Source organism: Homo sapiens, chromosome 4 (assembly GCF_000001405.40).
Source record: "Homo sapiens chromosome 4, GRCh38.p14 Primary Assembly".
Classification (NCBI taxonomy): domain Eukaryota; kingdom Metazoa; phylum Chordata; class Mammalia; order Primates; family Hominidae; genus Homo; species Homo sapiens.
In genome coordinates this window covers 25,738,946-25,763,897 of record NC_000004.12, presented here as the reverse complement: position 1 = coordinate 25,763,897, position 24,952 = coordinate 25,738,946, and the positions used below count along the sequence as shown (strand labels likewise).

The following is a 24,952-nucleotide window of genomic DNA, read 5'->3' as shown; positions in this document are numbered from 1 at the left end:
TTATCCCTGTATCAATCTTTGGTGGGATTTTTTTGTTGTTGCTGTTTTGTGGGGTTTTTTGAGACAGGGTTTCACTCTGTAACCCAGGCTGAAATGCAGTGGCACACTCAGCTCACTGCAGCCTTGGTCCCCCAGGCTCAAGCGATCCTCCTACCTCAGCCTCCTAAGTAGCTGGAAATACAAGTGCATGTCCGGCTAATTTTTGTAGTTTTTGTAGAGATGGGGTTTTGCCATGTTGCCCAGGCTGGGCTTGAATTCCTGGGCTCAAGTGATCTGCCCACCTTGGCCTCCCAAGGTGCTGGGATTACAGGCATGAGTCACTGTGTCCAGCCAATCTTTTCTATTTTTATTTTATTTTTTTAATGGAGGTACAACATCGCAGTGGTCATGTACCTGGGTTAAAATCCCACATCTCTCTCACTCCATAGCTCTTTGTTCATGGCGAGTCACTAAATCTCTGAATCTCTATTTGTGCATGTGTAAATGTAAATGGGGGTAATAAGAGCATCTGCCTCATAGATCGTGAGGATTAAATGAGATGTTCAGTGTAAAGCTCTAAGCCCAGTGCCAAGTACACTCAGTGGACATGATCTATTCTGTTATCATTTCTTCTGAAAAGAAGGAGTTACTGCTAAAGGCATTTGCTATAGAAATAAACTCCCTTAGGTCATATTTCCTGTCACTTAAAATTGGGCCTGGATTTTTTTTTTTTCAATTTTTATTTTTACTGTTTGGGAAGCCAATGTTACAAAAACAATAAAGGATAATTTTTTCAAGAAAAATAAACCAAAGAATGCACTGACAATTCTATGGCAGGGGTTTTACTCCTTTATGTCTTCATGTTCCCTTGCAGTCCCTGCCCACAAGCAGATGTATCTGTCATGTTATCTATAGTGTGCCTGTCACTTTTTTTTTTTTTTTTTGACACAGAGTCTCACTCTGTCGCCAGGCTGGAGTGCAGTGGCATGATCTCGGCTCACTGCAACTTCCGCCTCCCAGGTTCAGGTGATTCTCCTGCCTCAGCCTCCCGAGTAGCTAGGACTACAGGCGCGCCACCACACCCAGCTAATTTTTGTGTTTTTAGTAGAAACGGGGTTTCACCATGTTGGGCAGGATGGTCTTCATCTCTTGACCTCGTGATCCGCCCACCTTGGCCTCCCAAAGTGCTGGGATTAGAGGGGTGAGCACCGCACCTGGCCACCGGTCACTTTTAAAATCTGTCTTATCATTTATTGTAGGATTGTGTGCATTTTATTACATAGTCTCTAATTATTAACCCTAATAGCTGCCCCATATTCTGTTGAGCTGATACATTATAATTTCTTAAGCTTTACCTTATTGGTGGATGCTTATCCTTTTGTTTACTAACTTATTTATTGATTTGACACATATTTATCTATAGAGTCCTACCATGTCTTAGACAGTGATTAGTGGTGGGGACATAAGATAAAAAGATAGATCATACTGTTGCCTATATGGGATTTATAGTCTACCAAGGAAGACTTGGAGGTGGTTTCCTCTTGTGTTGGAATTACAGCTAGTGCTACAATGAATATTTTTATATTTCCATATTTTCTCTTAGTTTGAATACTTTCCTTATAATCTGAGAAATAGTATTATTGAGTCAGACAGTCTAAATGGTTTTATGAGGCCGGGCACAGTGGCTCATGCCTGTAATCCCAGTTCTTTGGGAGGCCAAGGCAGGCAGATCACTTGAAGTCAGCAGTTTGAGACCAGCCTGGCCAACATGGTGAAACCCCATCTCTGCTAAAAATACAAAAATTAGCTGGGCGTGGTGGTGCAAACCAGTAGTCCCAGTTACTTGGGAGGCTGAAGCAAGAGAATCTCTTGAACCTGGAAGGTGGAGGTTACAGTGAGCTGAGATCATTGCACTCCAGCCTGGGCAACAGAGTGAGATTCCATCTCAAAAAATAGAAGTAAAAATTAAAAAAAAATAAATGGTTTTATGACTACATGATAGCATGCTGCCATTTTGCTTTCTGAAAGGGCTTTCCATTTAATACCTCACCGATCAGTGTTTAAGTAGAGAAGGATGACTGAAATCTTTCCAGCAAGTGGATGCTTTCATGATTTAATTTTGCTAATTGAATAATGATATGTTGATACTTTCTTACTGTTTTTAACTTGCATTTACTTAATTACTAGTGATGATGGACACTTTTACATATACTAGCTTGTGATAATTTACTTTTTACATTTTCTTTTTTGTAAATTCTGTATTCTTATTCTTTGCCTATTTATCTGTTGGAATTTTGACACTTTTGAAAATTTAAACCATAATTAGTTCTTTATATATTTATCTAGCAGATAAGGAACCTTAAGCTATTACATTGCATACGACTATTCCCCTACTCTATTTTCCCACTTATTTTAATCTTGGTATTATTCCATTGATTAGAGACTTTAAAATTTCATAAAGCTGGCTGGGCGCGGTGGCTCAACCCTGTAGTGCCAGCACTTTGGGAGGCCAAGGTGGGCGGATTAACTGAGGTCAGAAGGTCGAGACCAGCCTGGCTGACATGGAGAAACCTCGTCTCTACTGAAAATACAAAAATTAGCCATGCGTGGCTGTGGGCACCTGTAATCCCAGCTACTCAGGAGGCTGAGGCAGGAGAATCACTTGAACCCAGGAGGCGGACGATGCACTGAGCCGAGATCACACCATTGCACTCAACAAAACAAAACAAAAAATCATAAAGCCATTTTTTTCTTTTCTCTTAATATCTCAAATTTTAAGAGTGCCTTCCTTTCAAAGAGTGCAGAAATAGTCTATTTTCTGCTGTTGTGTGAGTGTGTGTGTGCATCTTAAAGATACTTAACGCTTCATCTATTTAGAGGTTATTCTTGGCACCATGGTGGAGTTTAAGATTTGAGACTCTGCACCCTGTCCTCTTGTGTTTGACGCTCCAGCTCTGCCACTTTCCAGCTGTGTAACCTTGGGCAAGTTGTTTAACCACTCTGTGCCTCGGTTTCCTCATCTATAAAACAGGGAGGATAAGACTACCTATATCGATTTGTTGTTATGAGGATTAAATGAATAAATATAAAAAGCAGAACAATGCCTCGCATATGGCAAGCACTCAAAACGTGAGCTGCTGGTATTTTTATCATGATTGCGACATACGATGGTTGTGAAAGTCCTGGAGTATGCAACCTGGTAAATGATGATTTTCATTTAGATTGCGGTCAGAGGCAAGGTCAGAGGGAAGATATAAGCCATTAGATGTGATCGTGTCATAAGGGAAGCACAAATCAAAACCACAGTGAGGCACCATCTCACACCAGTCAGAATGGTTATTATTAAAAAGTCAAAAAAGAACAGGTGCCGGTGAGGTTGCAAAGAGAAATAACACTTATGCACTGTTGGTGGGAGTATAAATTAGTTCAACCATTGTGGAAAGCAGTGTAGCAATTCCTCAAGACCCAGCAATCTCATTACTGGGTATATACCCAAAGGAATATAAATCGTTCTGTTATGAAGACACATGCACATGTATGTTCATTGCAGCATGATTCACAATACCAAAGACATAGAATCAACCCAAATGCCCATCAATGGTAGACTGGTTAAAGAAAACATGGTACATATACACCATGGAATACTATGCAGCCATAAAAAAGAATGACATCATGTCGTTTGCAGGAACATGGATGGAGCTGGAAGCCATTATCCATAGCAAACTATGCAGGAGCAGAAAACCAAACACCACATATTCTCGCTTAGTGGGAGCTAAATGATGAGAACACATGGGCACATAGAAGGGAACAACAGACACTACACCTAAGGGTGGAGGTTGGAAGGAGGGAGAGGATCACGAAAAATAGCAAATATGTACTAGGCTTAGTACCTGGGTGACAAAATAATATGTACAACAAACCCCCATAACACGTAACAAAATAATCTGTATGACAAACCTGTACATGTACCCCTAAAGTTGAAACAGAAGTTAAAAACAAAACACAAAAAACATGATCCTGAGTTCTTTCAATGGCAACAATCCAGTTTAATTGGTCAAGTTCTAATGGTAAGTACCACATCGTTTATTGCTTGTTTCTTAATCTGGCCACCTGCTCGGCTTGTGATGGAGGGTGTGCATTCTCCAGGCAGTGTAATAGTACCCATCCTTTATGAAGCATGTCTTTGGTCGGGCCCTCTAACTGTGTTTATTTTATTGGATCCGTACAGCCCAATAAGACAGGTCTTACCTCTAAGGATCAAGAACAAGGTGTCAGAGGAAGAGGTAGGAAAATATACCATAGTGGGAATCTGTGCCAAGAGGAGTCATGAGAAGAGGTTTCTGCACCAGCCTAGGAAAGTTGAGATGAGTGCCCTTAGGTGATCCCGTGCAAGGGAGGCACCGCCTTGGGTTGTCAGTCATTGGAAGCCGCCCTAGCCACAGAAATATTTTGTCAGATTTCCAACAGGGCTATGGCAACTGAGGGCATAGTCTGTAGGCAATGGACATGGTATTCGACTCAGTATTCTTGTTTCGTTTATGATACAAGGGCACGTTTTCCAGTAAGTTCTATTCTGAGAGAGTGAGCGAGAAAGGACGGATCTCCCGGTTGACTGGCTTCGGAGCAGATGGGACACAGCAGCTTCTGAAAGCCTCCTGGTTCTCCTGCAAATAAATTTCTCAGATGCATATATTTAGGGAAACAATTCATCAATGAAGATGACAAAACCATCTGGCTCTAGAGACTTAAAAAAAATTTTAGAGGTTGTAAACATTTACATTCTGATGAAGAGTGTGTGTCTAGGTTTTATTTCAAGGATTTGATGAGTTTGGTTTGTGGCTTGTTTTTAGGGATTTTTTAACCTGGCCCTGCTAATCGAGGAAGGTACGATAATCCCACACCATATCTTGGATTTCTTGGAAATTGACTCAACTCTCCATTCTAATAACATCTCCATTCTCCAGGAACTGTACGAAAGGTGAGCTCAGAGCCTCTAGAACTGTGGAATCTGAGGGAACCCAAGTAGATGATGTTCGCTTCTTGGTTAAAGTTAGCTTTACCCTTATATTGTAATGTAAATTGTTATTTAAAAAACAAAAACAAAAAGCAGGGCACCGTGGCTCATACTTGTAATCCCAGCACTTTGGGAGGCTGAGGCGGGCAGATCACTTGAGGTCAAGGGTTCGAGACCAGCCTGGCCAACCTGGCAGAACCTTATCTCTACTAAAAGAAAAAAAAAAAAAAGAAAGAAAAGAAAGAAAAAGCCCAGGATTTTCTTCTACTAGAAAACATTCAGCCAGACCCGAGTGTATTTCTCTTTTCTAATATCTGAAGTTTAAGATATAGAAGGTACTTGATCGGAAGTTCAAGGGCTGACCAGAAATTTCCACGAGAATGGAAAGAATAACAATCCGATTAGCCTATGCTTGTCTCTTGTTTGTTTATTTTGAGACAGGGCCTTGCTTTGTCACCCAGGCTGGAGTGCAGTGGTGCGATCTCAGCTCACTGCAACCTCCACTTCTTGGGTTCAAGTGATTCTCATGCCTCAGCCTCCTAAGTAGCTGGGATTACAGGTGTGCACTGTCACACCAGGCTAATTTTTGTGTTTTTAATAGAGACAGGGTTTCACCATGATGGCTAGGCTGGTCTCGAACTCCTGGCCTCAAGTAATCCACCTGCCTCAGCCTCCCTAAGTGCTGGGATTACGGGTGTGAGCCACCATGCCCTGCGTAAATAGCCAATGCTTTTTTGAAAGATGAGGCATTCCTACATCTGTGCTTTAAACAGAAATACTGTTCTAGTGGGTCCTGTTCTTCAGCGTCTTGCTTGACTTTTATTTTATTTATTTTTAAGTTTTTGCTGTCATCACAGCAGAACAGACTTGACTCTTAATTAAGCACAAAACTGACCTTTTTCTAAAATTTCTACTGGGATTCTAGAATTTCAGATCAGGCCAAACCACTTATTTGGCCACTGGCTTTATTTCTTTGTCTCTCATCTTTGTCAGTTGAGTGTGCTCATTTGTCCAAAAGCAGAAGAATGTAGGTTTGTGGATCTGAAAATGCCAGTCCTGAGTCGTGCCACCAAAGTTGGCTGACACGTCAAGATGCCCTGGGCTTTGTCTGCAGGTGCTGGAGCCACAGTAACGAGGAGTCCTTCAGCCCCTGCTCCTTGGCCTGGCTTTACCTGCACTTGCGGCTTCTCTGGGGTGCTATCCTGCACTCAGCCCTGGTAGGTTTCATGTCCCACCGGCCCCACCCTTGTGGCCCCTGCCCTTTGTCAGTCACTAATGCGTGCTTCTGATGTTTGCAGATCTACTTTCTGGGAACCTTTCTGCTATCCATATTGATCGCCTGGACTGTGCAGTATTTCCAGTCTGTCTCAGGTAAAGATTTATAAAAAGCGAAAGCAATATATTAAAAAAAAAAAAAGCAGGGATTTTTTTTTTTTTTTTTTTTTTTGGTCTACTGGAAAAATTGTGTTTTCCCTCCTGGTGCTGTTGGTCATGCTATCTCCTATCCCTAGGGTGGTCTTCACAGGGTGGGAATCCTTCTAGAGGTGTATGAAATTCCTGGCCGGTGGGAGGCCACAAAGTTACTATTGTATTTTTCAAAATAAGGATTTTATTTTTTATTTTATTTTGTTTTTTTTGAGATGGAGTCTCGTTCTGTCGCCCAGGCTGGAGTGCAGTGGTGTGATCTCAGCTCACTGCAACCTCTGCCTTCTGGGTTCAAGCAATTCTCCTGTCTCACCCTCCCGAGTAGCTGGGACTACAGGTGTGCGCCACCACACCCGGCTAATTTTTGTATTTTTAGTAGAGACGGGGTTTCACCATGTTGGCCAGGCTGGTCTCGAATTCCTGACCTCAGGTGATCTGGCTGCCTCATCCTCCTGAAGTGCTGGGATTACAGGCGTGGGCCACTGCACCCAGCCTCAAAATAAGGACTTTCTTTAAAAAGCCTAAGAAACTGACCTAATACAATTTCTTCCATTGAAAATTTATCTGTCAGAATTCTGCCTCTGTGTGCCTGAAAACACAGCGCCAAAGCTCCTGGCAGCATGAAGTCTTCCCTTTCATTTCAGTCAAGCAATCAGATGTGTAAGAGGATAAACAAACACTCGTAATGAATAAAAATCCTCGGCCACACGGACTCAGAGGGAGGGACTGAGCAGGAATCGTAAAGTGGGCATTTAGCTGAGCATGGTTTCCACTAATCATTGTTATTTTTCTGAGCCAGTATAGAATAGTTAAGGACAAGGGAGCCCTGCTTGCTTCTGTTTGGGCTTAGAGTCCAGGCTTGGCTACTCATTAGCTGTATGACTCATGGCAAGTTATTTAACCTTCCTGATCCCCAAATTTCTCATCAATACAATGAGGTTATGAGAGTAGCTACTTCCTAGGAACATAAAATGAAAAAAATATTAAGTGAAAAAAAATGCACGTAAGATACTTACCAAAATGACGGCTGTAGTTAAACGTTAGCTGTTATATTTATCTGGCATATAAAACCTTCTCAATAAATGTTAGCTCTTACATTTACTCCTCTATTAGACCATAAGCTGAGTAAGAGGAAGGCCCCAGTCGTGTCATTTGTGATAACTCATGCATAGTAGGTACTCACACCCACAGACGACTCCGGTCTCTCAAGAGACAAGAAAACTGATTTTTTACCATCTCGGACGGCTACAAAAGGGTATAATAACTCATGAAGGCAAACAGAGACATTTACAAATGGGTAGATTAGGACTGGACATGGCATTGGAGCATTTGCGTAGCTGTTATTTCTGTAGCAGATAATGGAAAGTGAAAGGGGTGCACGTCAGCGTCTCTTCCACGGTGAGAAGGAAGTCACTGTTGCAAGAAGCTAATGCGAAATCATTTCTCTCTGATTTACCTGAGGAGGTTAACAAGGACCCATCAAAACCTTCCAGGCTTGATGCCCCATAGTCTGCTGGTTAATAAACTTCACTCATGCAAATTCTGTCCCATCCTTAAATTTGTTGCCAGGTATAGTCATTTATTTTGCATCTTGTCAGTGTTTTCCATTTCAAATTGTCTTTGTCATTTTTACTCTGTAGAAATATTGTGATGATTATTACAAATGCAGTTCCGTTAGAGGAGCTGAAATTTGTCTTTGTGATTTTATGCCAGCTGGTAGCCATGAAAATTCATGGGCGGGTGGAATTGCTTTGATCAGAAGTCATCTCTTTTTTCTGTCTCCATGCCTTCATTATCAGTCTCTCCACATTCTTGTCTCCGTGTCTCTCCTGTCCTGTGATGTTTTGCTCTTCCTATATCCCCATAGTTCTTTCATACATTTTCGTCATTTTCTCAAACTTTTTCAATTGCTTTCTCCAGCACATACCTACTTCCTGCTTGACCAGCCTAAAGAAGGCTATGTCTGGATAGGATCAATCATAAAAATTATTTAATTCTATGCCCTTTACTTTACAGATGAGGAAACTGAGGCAGAGAGGCGAAGTAGCTTGCCCAAATAAAGAAATAAAGACCAGGAGACCAGACGCAGTGGCTTACTGCTATAATTCCAACATTTTGACAGGCCCAGGAGGGAGGATCACTTGAGCTCAGGGGTTTGAGACCAACCTGGGCAACATAGCGAGACCCCATTTCTAAAATAAAATAAAATAAAATAAAATAAAATAAAAATTAGCCAGGTGTCATTGCACATGCCTGCAGTCCTGGCTACTAGGGAGGCTGAGGCAGGAGAATTTTTTGCACCCAGAAGTTCAAGGCTGCAGTGAGCTATGATCACACCATGGCACTCCAGCCTGGGCAATAGAATGAGACCCAGTCTCTAAAAAAGTAGAAGTTAAAAAAAAAGATTAAGAATAGATGTAGGGCAGCAGAATTTCGAACTTCTTTTCAGCATCACAATACTTTAAAACAGTGATTGTCATCTGCCTCAAACCCATTGCCTCTCACATAGGAAATATTTTGAAACATATTTTTTAGTACCTTGAAATGAAATTCATGATAATTAACCCATCTACACACATTTTTAAAAATCAATATAGGGCCCTAACAGCAATATAAAGGGGAAATAAAAAGAAACTAATTGTAATAAAATAATATTGATTTCAATAAGTACATTCTAGCCCAGTGCTTATAAATTTTAATGTGCATATGAATCATCCAGCATTCTTATTAAATGCAGATTCTAGTTCAGTAGATTTTGGTTCAGTAGGTAAGCCCTGAGATTTGGCATTTCTAGCAAGCTCCTAGATGATGCCCACACTGCTGTTTAGTAAGAGCATACTTTGAGTAGTAAGGGCCGAAAAGTATAAAAAAAAAGAAAAAGAAAAAAACTCCACACATTTCCAAAATGTGCCCCGACAGTGGTACCTGCCAGCCCTGTTAGAACTAATGTTAAGAGTTGAAATATGGGACGGGTATGGTGGTTCACTCCTGTAATCCCAGCTACTTGGGAAGCCAAGGCATGAGAATCGCTTGAACCCCGGAGACGGAGGTTGCAGTGAGCTGAAATTGCACCACCACGCTCCAGCCTGGGCAACAGAGTGAGACCCTGTGTCAAAAAAAAAAAAAAAGTTGTCAATAATTTTTATATTTATTTATTTATTTATTTTATATATTTTTGAGATTGACTTTCGCTCTTGTTGCCCAGGCTGGAGTGCAATGGTGCAATCTCAGCTCGCCACAACCTCCACCTCCTGGGTTCAAGTGATTCTTCTGCCTCAGCCTCCCGAGTAGCTGGGAATACAGGCATGCGCCACCACGCCTGGCTAATTTTGTGTTTTTAGTAGAGACAGGGTTTCTCTGTGTTGGTCAGGCTGGTCTCGAACTCCTGACCTCAGGTGATCCACCCACCTCAGCCTCCCAAAGTGCTGGGATTACAGGTGTGAGCCACTGCAACTGACCTTATTTATTTATTTATTTATTTATTTATTTATTTATGTTGAGACGGAGTCTCACTGTCGCCCAGGCTGGAGTACAGTGGTACAATCTCAGCTCACTGCAACCTCCATCTCTCGGATTCAAGTGATTCTCCTGCCTCAGCCTCCTGAGTAGCTGGAATTACAGGTGCACGCCACCACCCCCAGCTGATTTTTGTACTTTTAGTAGAGATGGGCTTTCGCCATGTTGGCCAGGCTGGTCTTGAACTCCTGACCTCAAGGGATCTACCTGCCTTGGACTCCCAAAGTGCTGGGACTACAGGCATAAGCCACTGTGCCTGGCCTATCAATAATTTTTAAGTAGGAAGTTACTCCAGCAGTACAGTGAAGCTGATGGGATGATGGGGCAGGGAAATCGAGGCATGGAGGAGGTGAGGAGAAGCTGCTGCAAAGGCGATGCTGCTCAGAGACCAAGTTTCTACCATTTGGTGTCTCCCCAGTGAGCTGGTGCACAAGGTCCTGAGACCTGCCCCACAGCTGGGGGAAGACAGGGATGGGTGCATGTAGCAGCCATGGCGTTGTGAAACAAACTTAATAATGAACTCTGGGTGCTGACTGACTGTAAAAAAGAGGAAATGTATTTGAGAGTTAGGAGCCTCCCGTCAGCAGCTTTGGGTGAGGATTGTTGCTATAAGTTAGAGAGCTTTGTCATTTTGTGATTTGCATTTTTTCCAGTCAGTTGTATTTAAAAATTAATGATTTATAGTCAAGACTTGCAGTTGAGCTGTCCATCCATTTTGCGTTCAGCTCCAACTACCTTCATTTTCCTCCTGAGTTTATATGCTCTGTGATATATAGTTGACACATCATGGCATTTGCCACATTAAATTGTCCTGCATTCAGAAGGCTAGCCGCGCAGGACGGTGGTTAACAGCATCGGTGTGGGAGGCACACTGCTAAGATTCTGGCCCTGCCAGTAGCTAGCTATGTGACCTTGGGCAAAGGAAGGAGCCTATCTGTGCCTCAGTTCCCTCTTCCGTAAATAGCAGAAATAGTAGTACATCCACTGCCTGTTGTAGTTGAGATAACCAAATGAGGTAACACAATGTAAAGTGTTTAAAACTCCACAAATGGGCTGGGCGCAGTGGCTCACGCCTAGCACTTTGGGAGGCCAAGGCAGGCAGATCACCTAAGATCAGGAGTTTTAGACCAATCTGACCAACATGGTGAAACCCCATCTCTACTAAAAATACAAAAATTAGCGGGGCATGGTGGTGCATGCCTGTAATTCCAGCTGCTTGGGAGGCTGAGGCAGGAGAATCACCTGAAGCTGGGAGGCAGAGGCTGCAGAGAGCCCAGATTGCTCCATTGCACTCCTGCCTGGGCAACAAGAGTGAAACTCTGTCTCAAAAACAAAACAAAACCACAAATGTTAGCTGGTAGTTCTCAAGGAGTATGTCCTCTGGGGCACTGGACCTGTAATTAAAGCATGCTGACACTAGGTAATACCCACACATAAATAGCTTGATTTACCTCAGAAACAGACATAATGACCAAAGCCTAGTATGTTTTTCTTTGCTGTTAGGACTCTTTCTAAAACATTCAACTTTTTTTTTTTTTTTTTTTTCGGAGATGGAGTCTCACCCTATTGCCCAGGCTGGAGTGCAGTGGCGCTATCTCGGCTCACTGCAACCACCGCCTCCGGGGTTCATGCCATTCTCCTGCCTCAGCCTCCTGAGTAGCTGGGACTACAGGCACCTGCCACCACACCAAGCTAATTTTTGTATTTTTAGTAGAGACTGGGTTTCACCATGTTGGCTGTGCTGGTCTTGAACTCCTGACCTCAAGTGATCCGCCCGACTCAGCCTCCCAAAGTATTGGGATTACAGGCGTTAGCCACCGCACCTTGCCCATTCAACTATTTTTTTTTTTTTTTTGAGATGGAGTCTTACTCTGTCGCCCAAGCTGGAGTGCAGTAGCATGATCTCGGCTCACTGCAACCTCCGCCTCCCGGGTTCAAGCGATTCTCCTGCCTCAGCCTCCTGAGTAGCTGAGATTACAGATGCACGCCACCACACCCAGCTAAATTTTGTATTTTTAGTAGAGACAGGGTTTCACCATGTTGGTTAGGCTGGTCTCCAATTCATGTCCTCGTGATCTGCCTGCCTTGGCCTCCCAAAGTGCTGGGATTACAGGCGTGAGCCACCGTGCCCAGCCCATTCAACTATTTTTTAAAGCATTTCAACAAAAACATTGACTGATCAATAAAAAATACCAAGATAGCTCAATTGATACTTTCAATAGATTAGTCAATGTCTTGATCTTCATCATATATACTTATATATATAAAGAATATATACTTATATATAAAGAACATATATTTATTTATATATATAAAGAATACATATAAATATATGTATTCTTTCCTTCAAGGGAACTTGTGTTTGACTCCTGGCTCGCATTCCACCAGGCAGCTCAGTCTTTCTTGCTGCTTATACCTCCCACGGTGGTGGAAAGGTCCCTGGGTCTGGGTGGTCCTAGGGTCACTCAGATAGTCACCAGCCTGATAGCAGAACACACATCACCCTGGGCCTACACTGTTCCCCTAGGTCCATTGGCTTTGCAGCTTCTGGGTCACCTGGGAACTCCGTCATCTTTGCCAAAGCCAAGCGTCATTAGCCCTTCTTCTCCCAAGTCTTCATTTCTGATTGCTGATGGGGCACCCAAGGGTACTGTGGGTACAACCCAAGGACTCCAAAAAGCTCCTTTCCTCACCTGTTGCATCTCAAAAGCACTCTCCTTGTCCACTCTTTGGGAGGGTACACCAAGCATAATTGCCTTAATGGATCAGGCTTTTGAAAAACAAAAAATCCCAAAGTATATGTCTGGAGCCATCTCCACTTCTGCCTGGCCACAAACCTCCCCTGAGACCAAAAAATCACAGAGCCTGACCGTCAGCTGCCTGAAGGAAGCTAAAGGCAAGAACAGAAGTGGAAAATAGAAGTCACTATTTCAAAGAAAGAGCCCTGTCTTACTAGTATCATGTCAACTTTATGTCTCAATAGAATACACCATATAGAGCAAGATTTGCAGAACTGCTAGCTCCTCGGTACAACTAGGTAACGTTTTAAACCAACGTCAGCCTATTCAATACATTTATAATTTAAGACAACTCATTCCTTCCAGCTAAGTGGTTAGCCTAATGTTCTTTTAAAAAGAGTATGGTGATATGTATAAGATTAATTAAACCTTTTCCTGCTGTTTCCTGTCATCTACATTTCCAGCTAATGAGGTTTCTACTAAAATTATAGTAAAATGTCACAAAGTAGTGCTTATGAAGAAAGCAGTAGCCTTATAGTCAGAGAGATTTCATGAGGAGGTTGTACTCTGTCCTGTCTCATTAGCTTGACATCTTACCAGTATCTCCACTCCTGAAGAGTGTTTCAGTGACACAAATCTGGTCCCTGCTAGATCCAGAGGCCCAGATGAAGTAGGCATGATCTTACTTATAGCATACAATTTCTAGGGTTTTCCCCTGTATACCTCCTTTGTGCAAACATTCTCTCATTTCACATGTGAATCCAACATAGTCCCACGTATTCTTTCTTTTTTGCTTCCATCTGGTCAGTCGGCAAGCAGATGTTCTTCCTAACAGCAGAGATCAGCAAACTTTTTCTGTAAAGGACCAGATAATAAATATTTTGGGCCCTCGGGGCTGTCTTGGTCACAACTACTCCACTCAGCCGGTAGCTGAAAAGCAGCCATTGTGGCTGGGTTTCTTTTTTCTTTCTTTTTTTTTTTTTTTTTTTTTGAGATGGAGTCTCGCTCTGTCGCCCAGGCTGGTGTGCAGTGACAAGATCTCAGCTCACCACAACCTCCGGCCTCCCAGGTTCAAGCAATTCTCCGGCTTTAGCCTTCCGAGTAGCTGGGATTACAGGCACGTGCCACCACGCCCGGCTAATTTTTGTATTTTTAGTAGAGAGAGGGTTTCACCATGTTGGCCAGCCTGGTCTCAAACTCCTGACCTCAGGTTATCCGGCCGTCCGGGCCTCCCGAAGTGCTGGGATTACAGGCGTGAGCCACGGCGCCCGGCCTGTGGCTGGGTTTCTAATAAATCTTTACTATGGATGCAAAATTTGAATTTCATATATTTTTCACATGTCGCGAAATATTACTCTTTTTCTGTTCAACTGTGTAAAATTGTAAAAACTGTTTTTTAAACCACGAGCCGTACAAAAACAAGCAATGACTACGTTTGGCCCATGGGCTGCAGTTTGGGCCAGTTCGTGATATTTCTCACTAATGTACAGAAAATGGTCCCCCAGGCAGCAAATAATTCACAAATCACTCCTATTTGGCTCTGGAATATACTCTGTAATTTTTTAAACAACATGCTTATTGTCCTGGTTACCTTGATTCTAGTCCAATAATAAAATTAGCACACATTCCAGATGAGCAGAGACAAAGAGGCCACTTTAAAATTAGGCCGGGCTGTGGGGGGCTTGTGCAGTGATTGCAAACCCCCCAGTGGAAGAAGGGGAGTCCTCACACAGATAATGACTAACTTCCTGTAGAAACATCAAACATTTTTACTATGCTCTTACCAAAGATTTAAATGGTGGCAATGCTAATTATGCATTCTTTCTACATTTACACATTGGCACTTTTTTTTTTTAAATCAGAAAACTCATTGCTGATTTATCTTGTTACCATGGTGATTTAAACATTTCCCTGAGCTTGAAAATACATGCCTTAGTACTTCATTAACTTCCTCAGAGATCATCAGGAAGGTAAATCTTAGGATCAAAGTGGGTTTCAAGATCATCTAATCCAAGACTCTCAATTCACAAGTGATGAAACCGAGGCCCGGGAGACTCAAACATTTTACAACCAAAATGTCTGCCATCTGTACCTATCCCAAGGTCCCTTGTTAGCAGCAGATAAATGAGGCTTGTCCAACCCAGTTCTCCTGACTGCTGCAAAATGGTCTTTGTACCTCATCACTGGGGCTCTAATCACTAGATCACCTGCCAGAGTAGTGGCTTTAATGACCTTAGAAAGGGTACATCATTCTACAACATCCTGCCCCTCCCCATCACTCTCCTATTCTTTCAGAAGAGTGTTGGAATCCACGACCTCTTCTGTAGGTACTGGAAGGGGCCCGAAGAATTCCCGCATATATCCAGAAAAGCCAGAAGTTTGGGGACCCATTCTTAAACTTCCTAGAATGTCCCCTTAGGAATGAGCATCGGCACTTGGAGGTGAAACTCTTGAAGGGTTTTTATTTAGAAATCAGATTGTCAGCATGTGGTGGCATCTTCTTAAACTTAGATAACGGGTCCAGAGTTGCCTGGCTAGTTAGTGTCAGGTTCATTAGACTAGATGCATCTCTCCTGGCTTGCCAGAGTCTCTAGGTGTGGTTGTACATTCTGAATGCACTGTTTTGAGTATTCAGCACCTGTTGTGCATGTGTCTCTGCAGCAAGCGATCCCCCTCCAAGACCATCCCAGGCCTCCCCAGACACTGCCACGTCCACTGCAAGTCCAGCTGTGACTCCAGCTGCAGATGCCTCTGACCAAGACCAGCCCACAGTAACTAATAACCCGGAGCCACGTGGGTGAACTGTGCACTCCAGTTCTCTCCAGATGAGAGAGAATCTTTTCAACAGCTGGTATTGGGAAGCTGGGGCCAGGGCATGATCCTGATAAACACCTTAAATGTCTTGTCAACTGGATGCAAATTTTGCAATTGGTGTCATTTTTTTTAAAGTCAAATTACAAGGAAGTACCCAGATCAGGCAGTGGTAATACCAAAGGTCATCAAACACATACAAGGAACATCTTGATCATAGGGCATGTGGGGAAGTTTACTGGGCCATCACAGACTTTTGTTCTAGTGATTGTATGTATTAGGAGTCATAGCATGCCCTACGGCAGATCTGGATTCTTATACACTAAGATGTGTCTTAAGAATCACAGTGCGTGCTTCATCCCTTTATTGAAGAACAGAAAATTATGACTACTCTACAAGGTGGATAATATTTTGGTACCTGTGCTTGCCACAGCCCTGTTCCTCAAAGCTGAATTGATAGATTTCTCTTTGACTTCCAAGACCTAGCAGTTATAAGGCACCTTGAAATAAATTGTTTGTGCCTGGAAATGCAGGGAGGGCAATAGCTTTGTAAATTGGTTTACATTTTTCTCCTTGAATTTTTCTAGGGTCCTAGTGCTTCCGAATCATTTAATGGCATTGTCGGATATCTTTTACATTTCAATTGCAATCCATGAAATTACATTTAGAAGATTCTTAGTACTTAACTGTAGTCTTCTCCATGAATTACACGTTAGAATAGACTGGCAGCAACGGAATATGCAGCAAGTAAGCCTCTAGCTTATAGTTTCATCCCTACCCCTCATGCCTGCGTGAGTCTGTACAGGGATATGTGTGTGTGTGTGTGTGTGTGTGTGTTAGAGAGGAAGAGGAAGAGCAGAATGTCTGTATACTACATGCTGCTAAGGTAGTGAATAAATCAGTAATGCAATATTGTGGGTCCAAACTACTCTTTGCACTACTTTATTTACAGTAGTAAATAAAATTATTTTTATACAATTGACTACCAGAAAGTGGTTTTTTTTCCCCTTTTTTATAATTACTGTCACCATATAAAGTCTAAAGGTCCATATATTCTCCTTGAGGAGGGAAAAAAGAAAAGTCCTCCTGGTGAGAGGGCTTATTTTTCATAACCCATTAATATTTGTGGATAGGAAGGTGGCAGGAGGCTTCTCTCCAGGAATCCTGAGCTCAGGTCTGGCCTTAGAATGTTCGCACAGTATCAGACATTGTTTCAGGGCTTTGTGCTGCTCTGAGCCTGGGCTCTATGTTCATTCCAGGCTAAGCTTGTAGTTCATCCTCCTCCTTCTCCTATGAGTGTTGCTCTTGTTTTAGCAAATGTTGTCCCTCCTATTTGCAAAAAAGCCAGAGATTGAAGGCTGACAGTCCTGGATTCAAATTCTGGTCCTGTAACTGACAAGCTCAGTAATCTTAGGTGAGTGATTAACCTTCTCTAAGTCTCAGATTCCCATACTATAAAATGGGGCGATGAAAACTACCTCTTGGGATTTTTATGAGGCTTACACGAGATAATATATGTAAAGCCTACAGGATAGAGTCTTGTATTAGGTCATTCTTGCATTGCTATAACGAAATACTTGAGACAGGGTAATTTATAAAGAAAAGAGGTTTTATTGGCTCAGAGTCCTGTAGGCTGTACAGGAAACAAGGCGCTGACAGCTATTTGACTTCTGGGAAGGTCTCAGGAAACTTTCAATCATGGCAGAAGGCGAAGGAGAAGCAGACATGTCTTACGTGGCTAGAGCAGGAGCAAGAGAGACTGAGGCAGGTGCCACAGACTTCTATTTATTTTATTTTTGTTTCTCTCTATAGATAGAGATCTATATCTATCTATATATAGAAAGAATATATATATTTAAATATATACATTTGAATATATATATTTAAATATATATATATATATATATTTAGATAATATTGCTCTGTCGCCCAGGCTGGAGTGCAGTGGCACGATCTCGGCTCACTGCAACCTCCCCCTCCTAGGTTCTGGTGCCTCAGCCTCCGAGTAGCAGGGACTACAAGCATGTGCCACCATGCTTAGCTAATTTTTTGTATTTCTAGTAGAAACAGTGTTTTGCCATGTTGCCCAGGCTGGTCTTGAATTCCTGAGCTCGGGCAATCCGCCTGCCTCAGCCTCCCAAAGTGCTGGGATTATAGGCGTGAGTCACCGCGCCTGGCCTATTATATGCTTTTTTATTTTTATTTTTTATATTTTTTGCCACACACTTTTAAACAACCTGCTCTCATGGGAGCTCACTATCATGAGGACAGCATCAACAGGACGGTGCTAAACCATTCATGAGAAATCCATCCCCATTATCCAATCACCTCCTGCCAAGGCCCACCTCCAACATGGGGGATTACATTTCAACACTGAGATTTGAGCAAAGCAAATATCCAAACTATATCAGGTCCTAAATATGGTAGGTCATTATTTTTATAACATAAGAAAGAGCAGTCTGAGGGGCCAGAGAGTGACTCTGCTCTGCTGAGATCCTCTCTCCATGGCAAACACACCCATTTCCAATCTGTTGGGAACATGAGCTGCTGACTGCTCACAGCCACACGCCACACTGGGAATTGCCCTAAGCTGCTGGGATCTGCCCAAGGGCATACCCTTGCAAGAGCAGCCCGTGGCCAGTGGCTCCTTGATGTAGGCAGAGTTTCTCAATCTCAGCACTATGGACATTTGAGCTGGATGGTTCTTTGTTGTGGGGCAGGGTTGTCTTGTGTATTGTAGATGCTAAACAGCATCTCTGGCCTCTAATGAATGCTGCAGTGGGCACTCATCACCCCTGCTTCCCAGTGTGACAGCCAAACACCTCCTTGGGAGCAAAATCACACTCCCTTCACCTTGAGAATGACTGATGTAGGAAAACAAAGGTCCCTTGCCTCAATTTGGAACAGTGCTGAACGGCAGGGCATCCCAGCTCCAAAACTCTACGTTGGTTGCAACCTCACTGAATGCAGCTTCTCACTCTGCTCAATTCTGCCTTCCTCACTTTCTTTTTTTTTTTTTTGAGACTGAGTCTCGCTCTGTCACCCAAACTGGAGGACAGTGGCATGATCTTGGCTCACTGCATCCTCTGCCTCCCAGGCTCAAGAGATTTTCCAGCCTCAGCCTCCCAAGTAGCTGGGATTACAGGCATGTGCCACCATGCCCACCTAATTTTTGTATTTTTCATAAAGGTGGGTTTTCGCCATGTTGGCTAAGCTGGGCTTGAACTCCTGACCTCAAGTGATCCATCCACCACAGCCTCCCAAAGTGCTGGGATTACAGGTTTGAGCCACCACGCCTGGCCTTTCCTCGTGTTCTTATAGGATTTTCCAACACTGATCCCCAGAAATCTTCACACCCAACTCTGTACCTCAATTTCTTAAAAAACAAACAAACAAACAAAAACCCTAATGTATTAGTTTGCTGGGGCTGCCATAACCAAGTACCAAATACTGGGTAGCTTGAACAACAGAAATTTATTTTCTCACACTTTTGGAGGCTGGAAGTCCAAGATCAAGGCGTCAGCAGGATTAATTCCTTCTAAGTCCTCTCTCCTTGGCTTGTAGATGGCCGTCACCTTTCGGTGTCTTCACATGGTTGGTGTCTCTTCTGCGTGTGTCTGTGTCTTAGTCTTTTCTCATAAGGACACCAGCCACATTGGATTAAGACCCACACACATTTGTTGGGGTGCAGGGTTGTCTTGTGCATTGCAGAATGTTAAACAGTACCCCTGGCCTCTAATTAATGAATGCCTGCCATGGGTGCCAGCGCGCAGTGGCTCACACCAGTAATCCCAGCACTTTCGGAGGCAGAGGCAGCTGGATCTCTTGAGGTCAGGAATTTGAGACCAGCCTGGCCAACGTGGTGAAACCTCGTCTCTACTAAAAATACAAAAATTAGCTGGGCGTGGTGGTGCACGCCTCTAATCCCAGCTACTCAGGAGGCTGAGGCATGAGCATCGCTTGAACCTGGGAGGTGGAGGTTGCGGTGAGCTGAGATCGTGCCATGCCATTGCACTCCAGCCTGGGTGACAGAGCGAGGCTCCGTCTCAAAAAAAAAAAAAAAAAAGACTCACACATATGACCTCATTTTACCTTAATTAACTCTTAACTCTTAAAAGGCCCTATCTTCAAATACTGTCACATTCTGAGGTACTCGGTGTTAGGACTTCAGTCTGAGAATTTGGTGGCAGGACACAATTCAGCCCTTACCACCAACAGCCCTTACACCATGGGAGGCTGGCTCTGGTCCAGCATATGGACTCATTCACGGGAGCCATCCTGGTCTGCTCAGCTCCAAATGAGGTTGGGAAATGCTGACATGGTTCTAGGGTCAAACCTGGGTTCAGGTGAAGCTGGTAAGCTAATTGTCAATTCATGTCCCACCTTAGACATCTGTCCTCTGGGGATTTCTCAAGGCTGTATGATCTGGGTCCGGCACACACCTTCTCAAGCCCCAAGCTCCCTCTTCTCTCTTTAAATTCTAAACTGAATTTCCACAAGCCTAGTGTCCAAGCTGGCTGGAATAGAACCCTGCACAGTAAAGGCAACGTGGGGTAGGAGGGAAGGAAAAAGGAAGTAGGAGGTGTGAAAGGAAAATAAATATTGGGACCCCAGAATCACTAAGCTAAAAGGAAAAGTCGAGCTGGGAACTGCTTAAGGGAAACCTGCCTCCCAGTCTATTCAAAGTCTCATCCCTCTGCTCACTGAGATAAATGCGTATCTGATTGGCTCCTTTGGAAAAGCTAATCAGAAACTCAAAACAATGCAACAGTTTGTCTCTCGCCTATCTGTGACCTGGAAGCCCCCTCCCAACTTCGAGTGGTCCTGCCTTTCCAGACTGAACCAGTGTTCGTCTTACATATATTGATTGGTGTCTCATGTCTCCCTAAAATGTATAAAATCAAGCTGTGCCCTGACCACCTTGGGCACATGTCGTCACGACTTTCTGGGACTGTGTCATGGTGCACATCCTTGACTTTGGCAAAATAAACTTCCTAAATGGACTGAGACCTGTCTCAGATATTTTGGGTTAACAGAGGGTAGGGTACAGAGGTGATATTCAGTTACTTCCCTATTGTCCCCTCCACTTTGGACATTCTTAGACCATAAGTTGCAGACCAGTAGGTTGAAACAAATCCATCCTACAGATATAATTTTTTTGGCCCACTCAATATTTTTAAATTTTTCAATTAATTGCTAACATTGTAAAATCAAGGATTTGGGGCTTCTCCTAAAAACTCTAATGATGTGAAAAAACTGGGCTTTCATTGTTGCATGGCAAGAGTTAGCTGAGGCTGACTAGGTCTGCCCTTTTTAGTTAGAGTCTGTCCTTTCCGATTTGCCGCAGTCACCACCATTCCCTATTGCTTTACACCTAGTCCATTTATTCCTTTATGCAGGCATTTGGGTTCATAACTCGTGGTTTGAAACTCCTTCTCTTCATTCTTAATGACTTCATTGTGACAAGTCTGAGAGAGATCTCCAAATTCATTTACTGCTTAATCATTTCCAAGCTTTTGGGAGCTGGGGAAGCGGTACTCTGGTAGTCTTTCTTTCTGCTGCCTGATAGAGGGAGATGCCAAGCAGTAGGTCATTTGGAGTCTCAGTAAAGTATCCAACAAAGTTGCAAGACAAAATGCCAATTTAAAAAAATTAGTGTTTTCCTACACCAGCAATAACTAGAAAATTAAATACTAAGTAATATTAAATGTAAGTAAGATTTCATTTACAGTAATGACACAGTTGTAAAGTGTCTAGAAATTAACCAAACTATGAACTCATTAGATGTTTATCAAGGAAATTTAAAAAGTCTACTCCTTGGCCGGGTGCGGTGGCTCACGCCTATCATCCCAGCACTTTGAGAGGCTGAGGCAGGCAGATCACGAGGTCAGGAGTTTGAGACCAGCCTGGCCAACGTGGTGAAACCCCATCTCTACTAGAAATACAAAAATTAGCCAGGTGTGGTGGCACGCACCTGATTGCACCAAGATTGCTTGAGTGCAGGAGGTGGAGCCCAGCCAGGGCAACATGGTGAAACCCCATCTCTACAAAAACTACAAAAATTAGCCGGCTGTGGTGGTGCATGTCTGTGGTCCTAGATACTCGGGAGGCTGAGGTGGAAGAATTGCTTGAGCCCAGAAGATCGAGGCTGCAATGAGCCAAGATTGTGCTACTTCACTCCAGCCTGAGCAACAGAGCAAGACACTGTCTCTCAATAAATAAATAAATAAATACTTCAAATGAATTAAAGACTTAACTGTGAAAGGCAGAACTACAAGGCTAGTAATAGAAAACGTAAGATTTGGCCGGGCACGGTGGCTCACGCTTGTAATCCCAGCAATTTGGGAGGCCGAGGCAGGCAGATCACTTGAGGACAAGAGTTCGAGACCAGCCTGGCCAACATGGTGAAACCCCATCTCTACTAAAACTACAAAAAAAATTAGCCGGGCATGGTGGCAGGTGCCTGTAATCCCAGCTACTTGGGAGGCTGAGGCAGGAGACTCACTGGAACCCAAGAGGCAGAGGTTGCAGTGAGTCAAGATCACGCCATTGCAATTGAGCCTGGGCAATATCTCAAAAAAAATATATATAATAATAATATAATATAATAAATCAAAGAAAATGTAAGAAGATTTTATACATTTTGAATGACAAAAGATTTCTTAAGCAGTATATAAAAATACAGATTTCTCTTCTTCAAAAATAAAGGATTTCTGTTCAAGAAAGAACACCACTGTCAAAGTTGGTGCATTTAGGTGTGAGATTTGCAACATCCCACACCTGAAGTATCAACATCTAGAATGTGCAAAGAATGTATGTTAATCAACCACAACAAGGGGCAGAACCTCGTAGAAAAAATATTCAAAGCACAGGAACAATCCATGGAAGGAGAAAATCTAAAGACTTAAAGTAGATGAAGAGCTGCTCAACCTAACTTGAAGTCAAAGAAATACAAATTAAAATACAAAGATGTCACTTCACTCCCATCATAAACATTAGAAATACAGGTAATATGGCCAGCCTCAGTGGCTCACCTCTGTAATCCCAGCACTTTGGGAGGCTGAGGCGGGCGGATTACTTGACGTCAGGAGTTCGAGACCAGCCTAGGGATAGTAAAACTCCGTCTCTACTAAAAATACAAAAATTAGCTGGGTGTGGTGGTGGCTGCCTGTAATCCAGGTATTCAGGAGACTGAGACAGGAGAATCTTTTGAACCCGGGAGGTGAAGGTTGCAGTGAGCCGAGATCGCACCACTGCACTCCAGTCTGGGTGACAAGAGCAAAACTCCATCTAAAAAAAAAAAAAAGAAAGAAAGCAATATAGGTAATATGGCCAGGTGCAGTGGCTCATGTCTATAATCCCAGCACTTTGGAAGACCAAGGTGGGCATATCACTTGAGGTCAGGAGTTCAAGACCAGCCTGGCCAACATGGTGAAACCCCATCTCCACTAAAAACACAAAAATTAGCCAGGCGTGGTGGGGGGCACCTGTAATTTCAGATATTTGGGAGGCTGAGGCAAGAGAATCCCTTGAACCCAGGAGGCAGAGGTTGCAGTAAGCCGAGATCGCACCATTGCACTCCAGCCTGGCAACAGAGCAAGACTCTTATCTCAGGAAAAAAAAGAAAAAAGAAAAGAAATGTATGTAATACCCTGAGGATGTGGGGAAACAAATTCTCCAGTCTCACTGCACAGGTGGCAGAGTAAACAGGTGAACAATGTGGCAGTAAAGTACTTAATGAAATAAAGCATTTAGGGGTCAGAAAGCCCACTCCCAAGTATGAGCTTCCCAAACTCTGCACAGGTCCAATAGGTGCTATGGATGAAGGAGGGTGATGCAAACAGCACTGTTTGAGAGAGCAAGCTGGAGCAGCCTGGATCCTGGATGTGTCCATCAGTAGGAGAACGGATGTGCTCGATGGTTGTCATAGAAAACCATGCACCAGTAAGAAAGCTAGGAACTAGATTTTTTTTTTTTTTTTTGAGATGGAGTCTCACTCTGTAGCTCAGGCTAGAGTGCAATGGCACCATCTCAGCTCACTGCAACCTCTGCCTCCTGGGTTCAAGTGATTCTCTTGTCTCAGCCTCCCAAGTAGCTGGGATTACAGGTGTGGCCACCATGCCCAGCTAATTTTTGTATTTTTAGTAGAGATGAGGTTTCACCATGTTGTCCAGGCTGGTCTTGAACTCCTAACCTCAGGTAATCCACCCGCCTCAGCCTCCCAAAGTGCTGGGATTACAGGCATGAGCCACCATGCCCGGCCACTAGGAACTAGATTTATGCACAGCAACAGATATGTTGAAAAGGTTAGAAATAGCCAGACTTGGTGGCTCACGCCTGTAATTCTAGCACTTAGTGGGAGGCTGAGCGGGGAGGATCACTTGAGCTCAGGAGTTTGAGACCAGCCTGGACAACATAGTGAGACCTTCGTCTCTATTAAATAAATTAATTAATTAATTAATTCAGTTAAAAAATACATTGATGAATGAAAAAAAAAGAAACTGAATCAGAGCTATATCTCAATACTAGTTGTATAAGTTAAAAACCAACCCCCTAAAGGATACTACATATGTACATGTGTGAATGTACGCTTATATGTATATATACAGATTTGTGTTTCTACACACACACACACACACACACACACACACACATTATTTTTTCTTTCAGAATACACACATGGGTTTTTTTTTTGTTTTTTGTTTTTTTTTGACGGAGTCTCTCTCTGTCACCAGGCTGGAGTGCAGTGGTGCGATCTTGGATCACTGCAACCTCTGCATCCTGGGTTCAAGCAATTCTCCTGCCTCAGCTCCCGAGTAGCTGCTGGGACTACAGGCGCGTGCCACCATGCCCAGCTGACTTTTGTATTTTTAGTAGCGATGGGATTTCACCATGTTGGCCAGGATGGTCTCGATCTCTTGACCTCGTGATCTACCCTCCTCGGCCTCCCAAGGTGCTGGGATTACAGGCGTGAGCCACCACTCCTGGCCAGAATACACACATGGTTTTAAATCATCGTTGGTGCTATTCACATTTTGGACCAGATAGTTCATTGTTGTGAGAAGCTGTGTGTACATTGTAGGATGTTTAGCAACATCTCTATGGCCTCTCTCTACCTGATACCAGTAGCACCCACTCAGTTGTGACAACCAAAAATGCCTCCAGACATTGTTTTTTTGTTGTTGTTGTTTTTGTTTTTCTTTTTTGAGACAGAGTCTCGCTCTGTCGCCCAGGCTGGAGTGCAGTGGCACATTCTCTGCTCACTGCAACCTCTGCCTCCCAGGTTCAAGTGATGGTTCTGCCTCAGCCTCCTTAGTAGATGGGATTACAGGTGTGCCCCCACCATGCCTGGCTAATTTTTTATTTTTTTTTTAGTAGAGACAGGGTTTCTCCATGTTGGTCATGCTGGTCTTGAACTCCTGACCTTGTAATCTGCCCGCCTCGGCCTCCCAAAGTGCTGGGATTACAG

The 24,952-nt window shown here is 43.3% G+C and overlaps 1 protein-coding gene across 9 annotated transcripts in view; it reads left to right on the top strand.

Moving 5' to 3' along the window:
- Positions 1–24,952, top strand: part of SEL1L3 (SEL1L family member 3) — a 149,603-nt gene that overhangs the window by 99,669 nt on the left and 24,982 nt on the right. For 4 of the 9 annotated variants that reach the window (XR_007096387.1, XR_007096388.1, XR_001741182.3 and 1 more), the window contains exons 21-23: positions 4,830–4,957; positions 6,108–6,210; positions 6,292–6,364. Coding sequence is in view for 5 of the 9 variants with exons in the window: in NM_001297592.2 (NP_001284521.1) it covers positions 4,830–4,957; positions 6,108–6,210; positions 6,292–6,364; positions 15,334–15,473 (444 nt within the window). In the remaining 4 variants the exon portion in view is untranslated. Of the gene's footprint in view, positions 1–4,829; positions 4,958–6,107; positions 6,211–6,291; positions 6,365–6,989; positions 7,959–15,333; positions 16,466–24,952 lie in introns of those variants that run through there. The other 5 variants (NM_001297592.2, NM_001297594.2, NM_015187.5 and 2 more) reach the window with 2 other exon arrangements.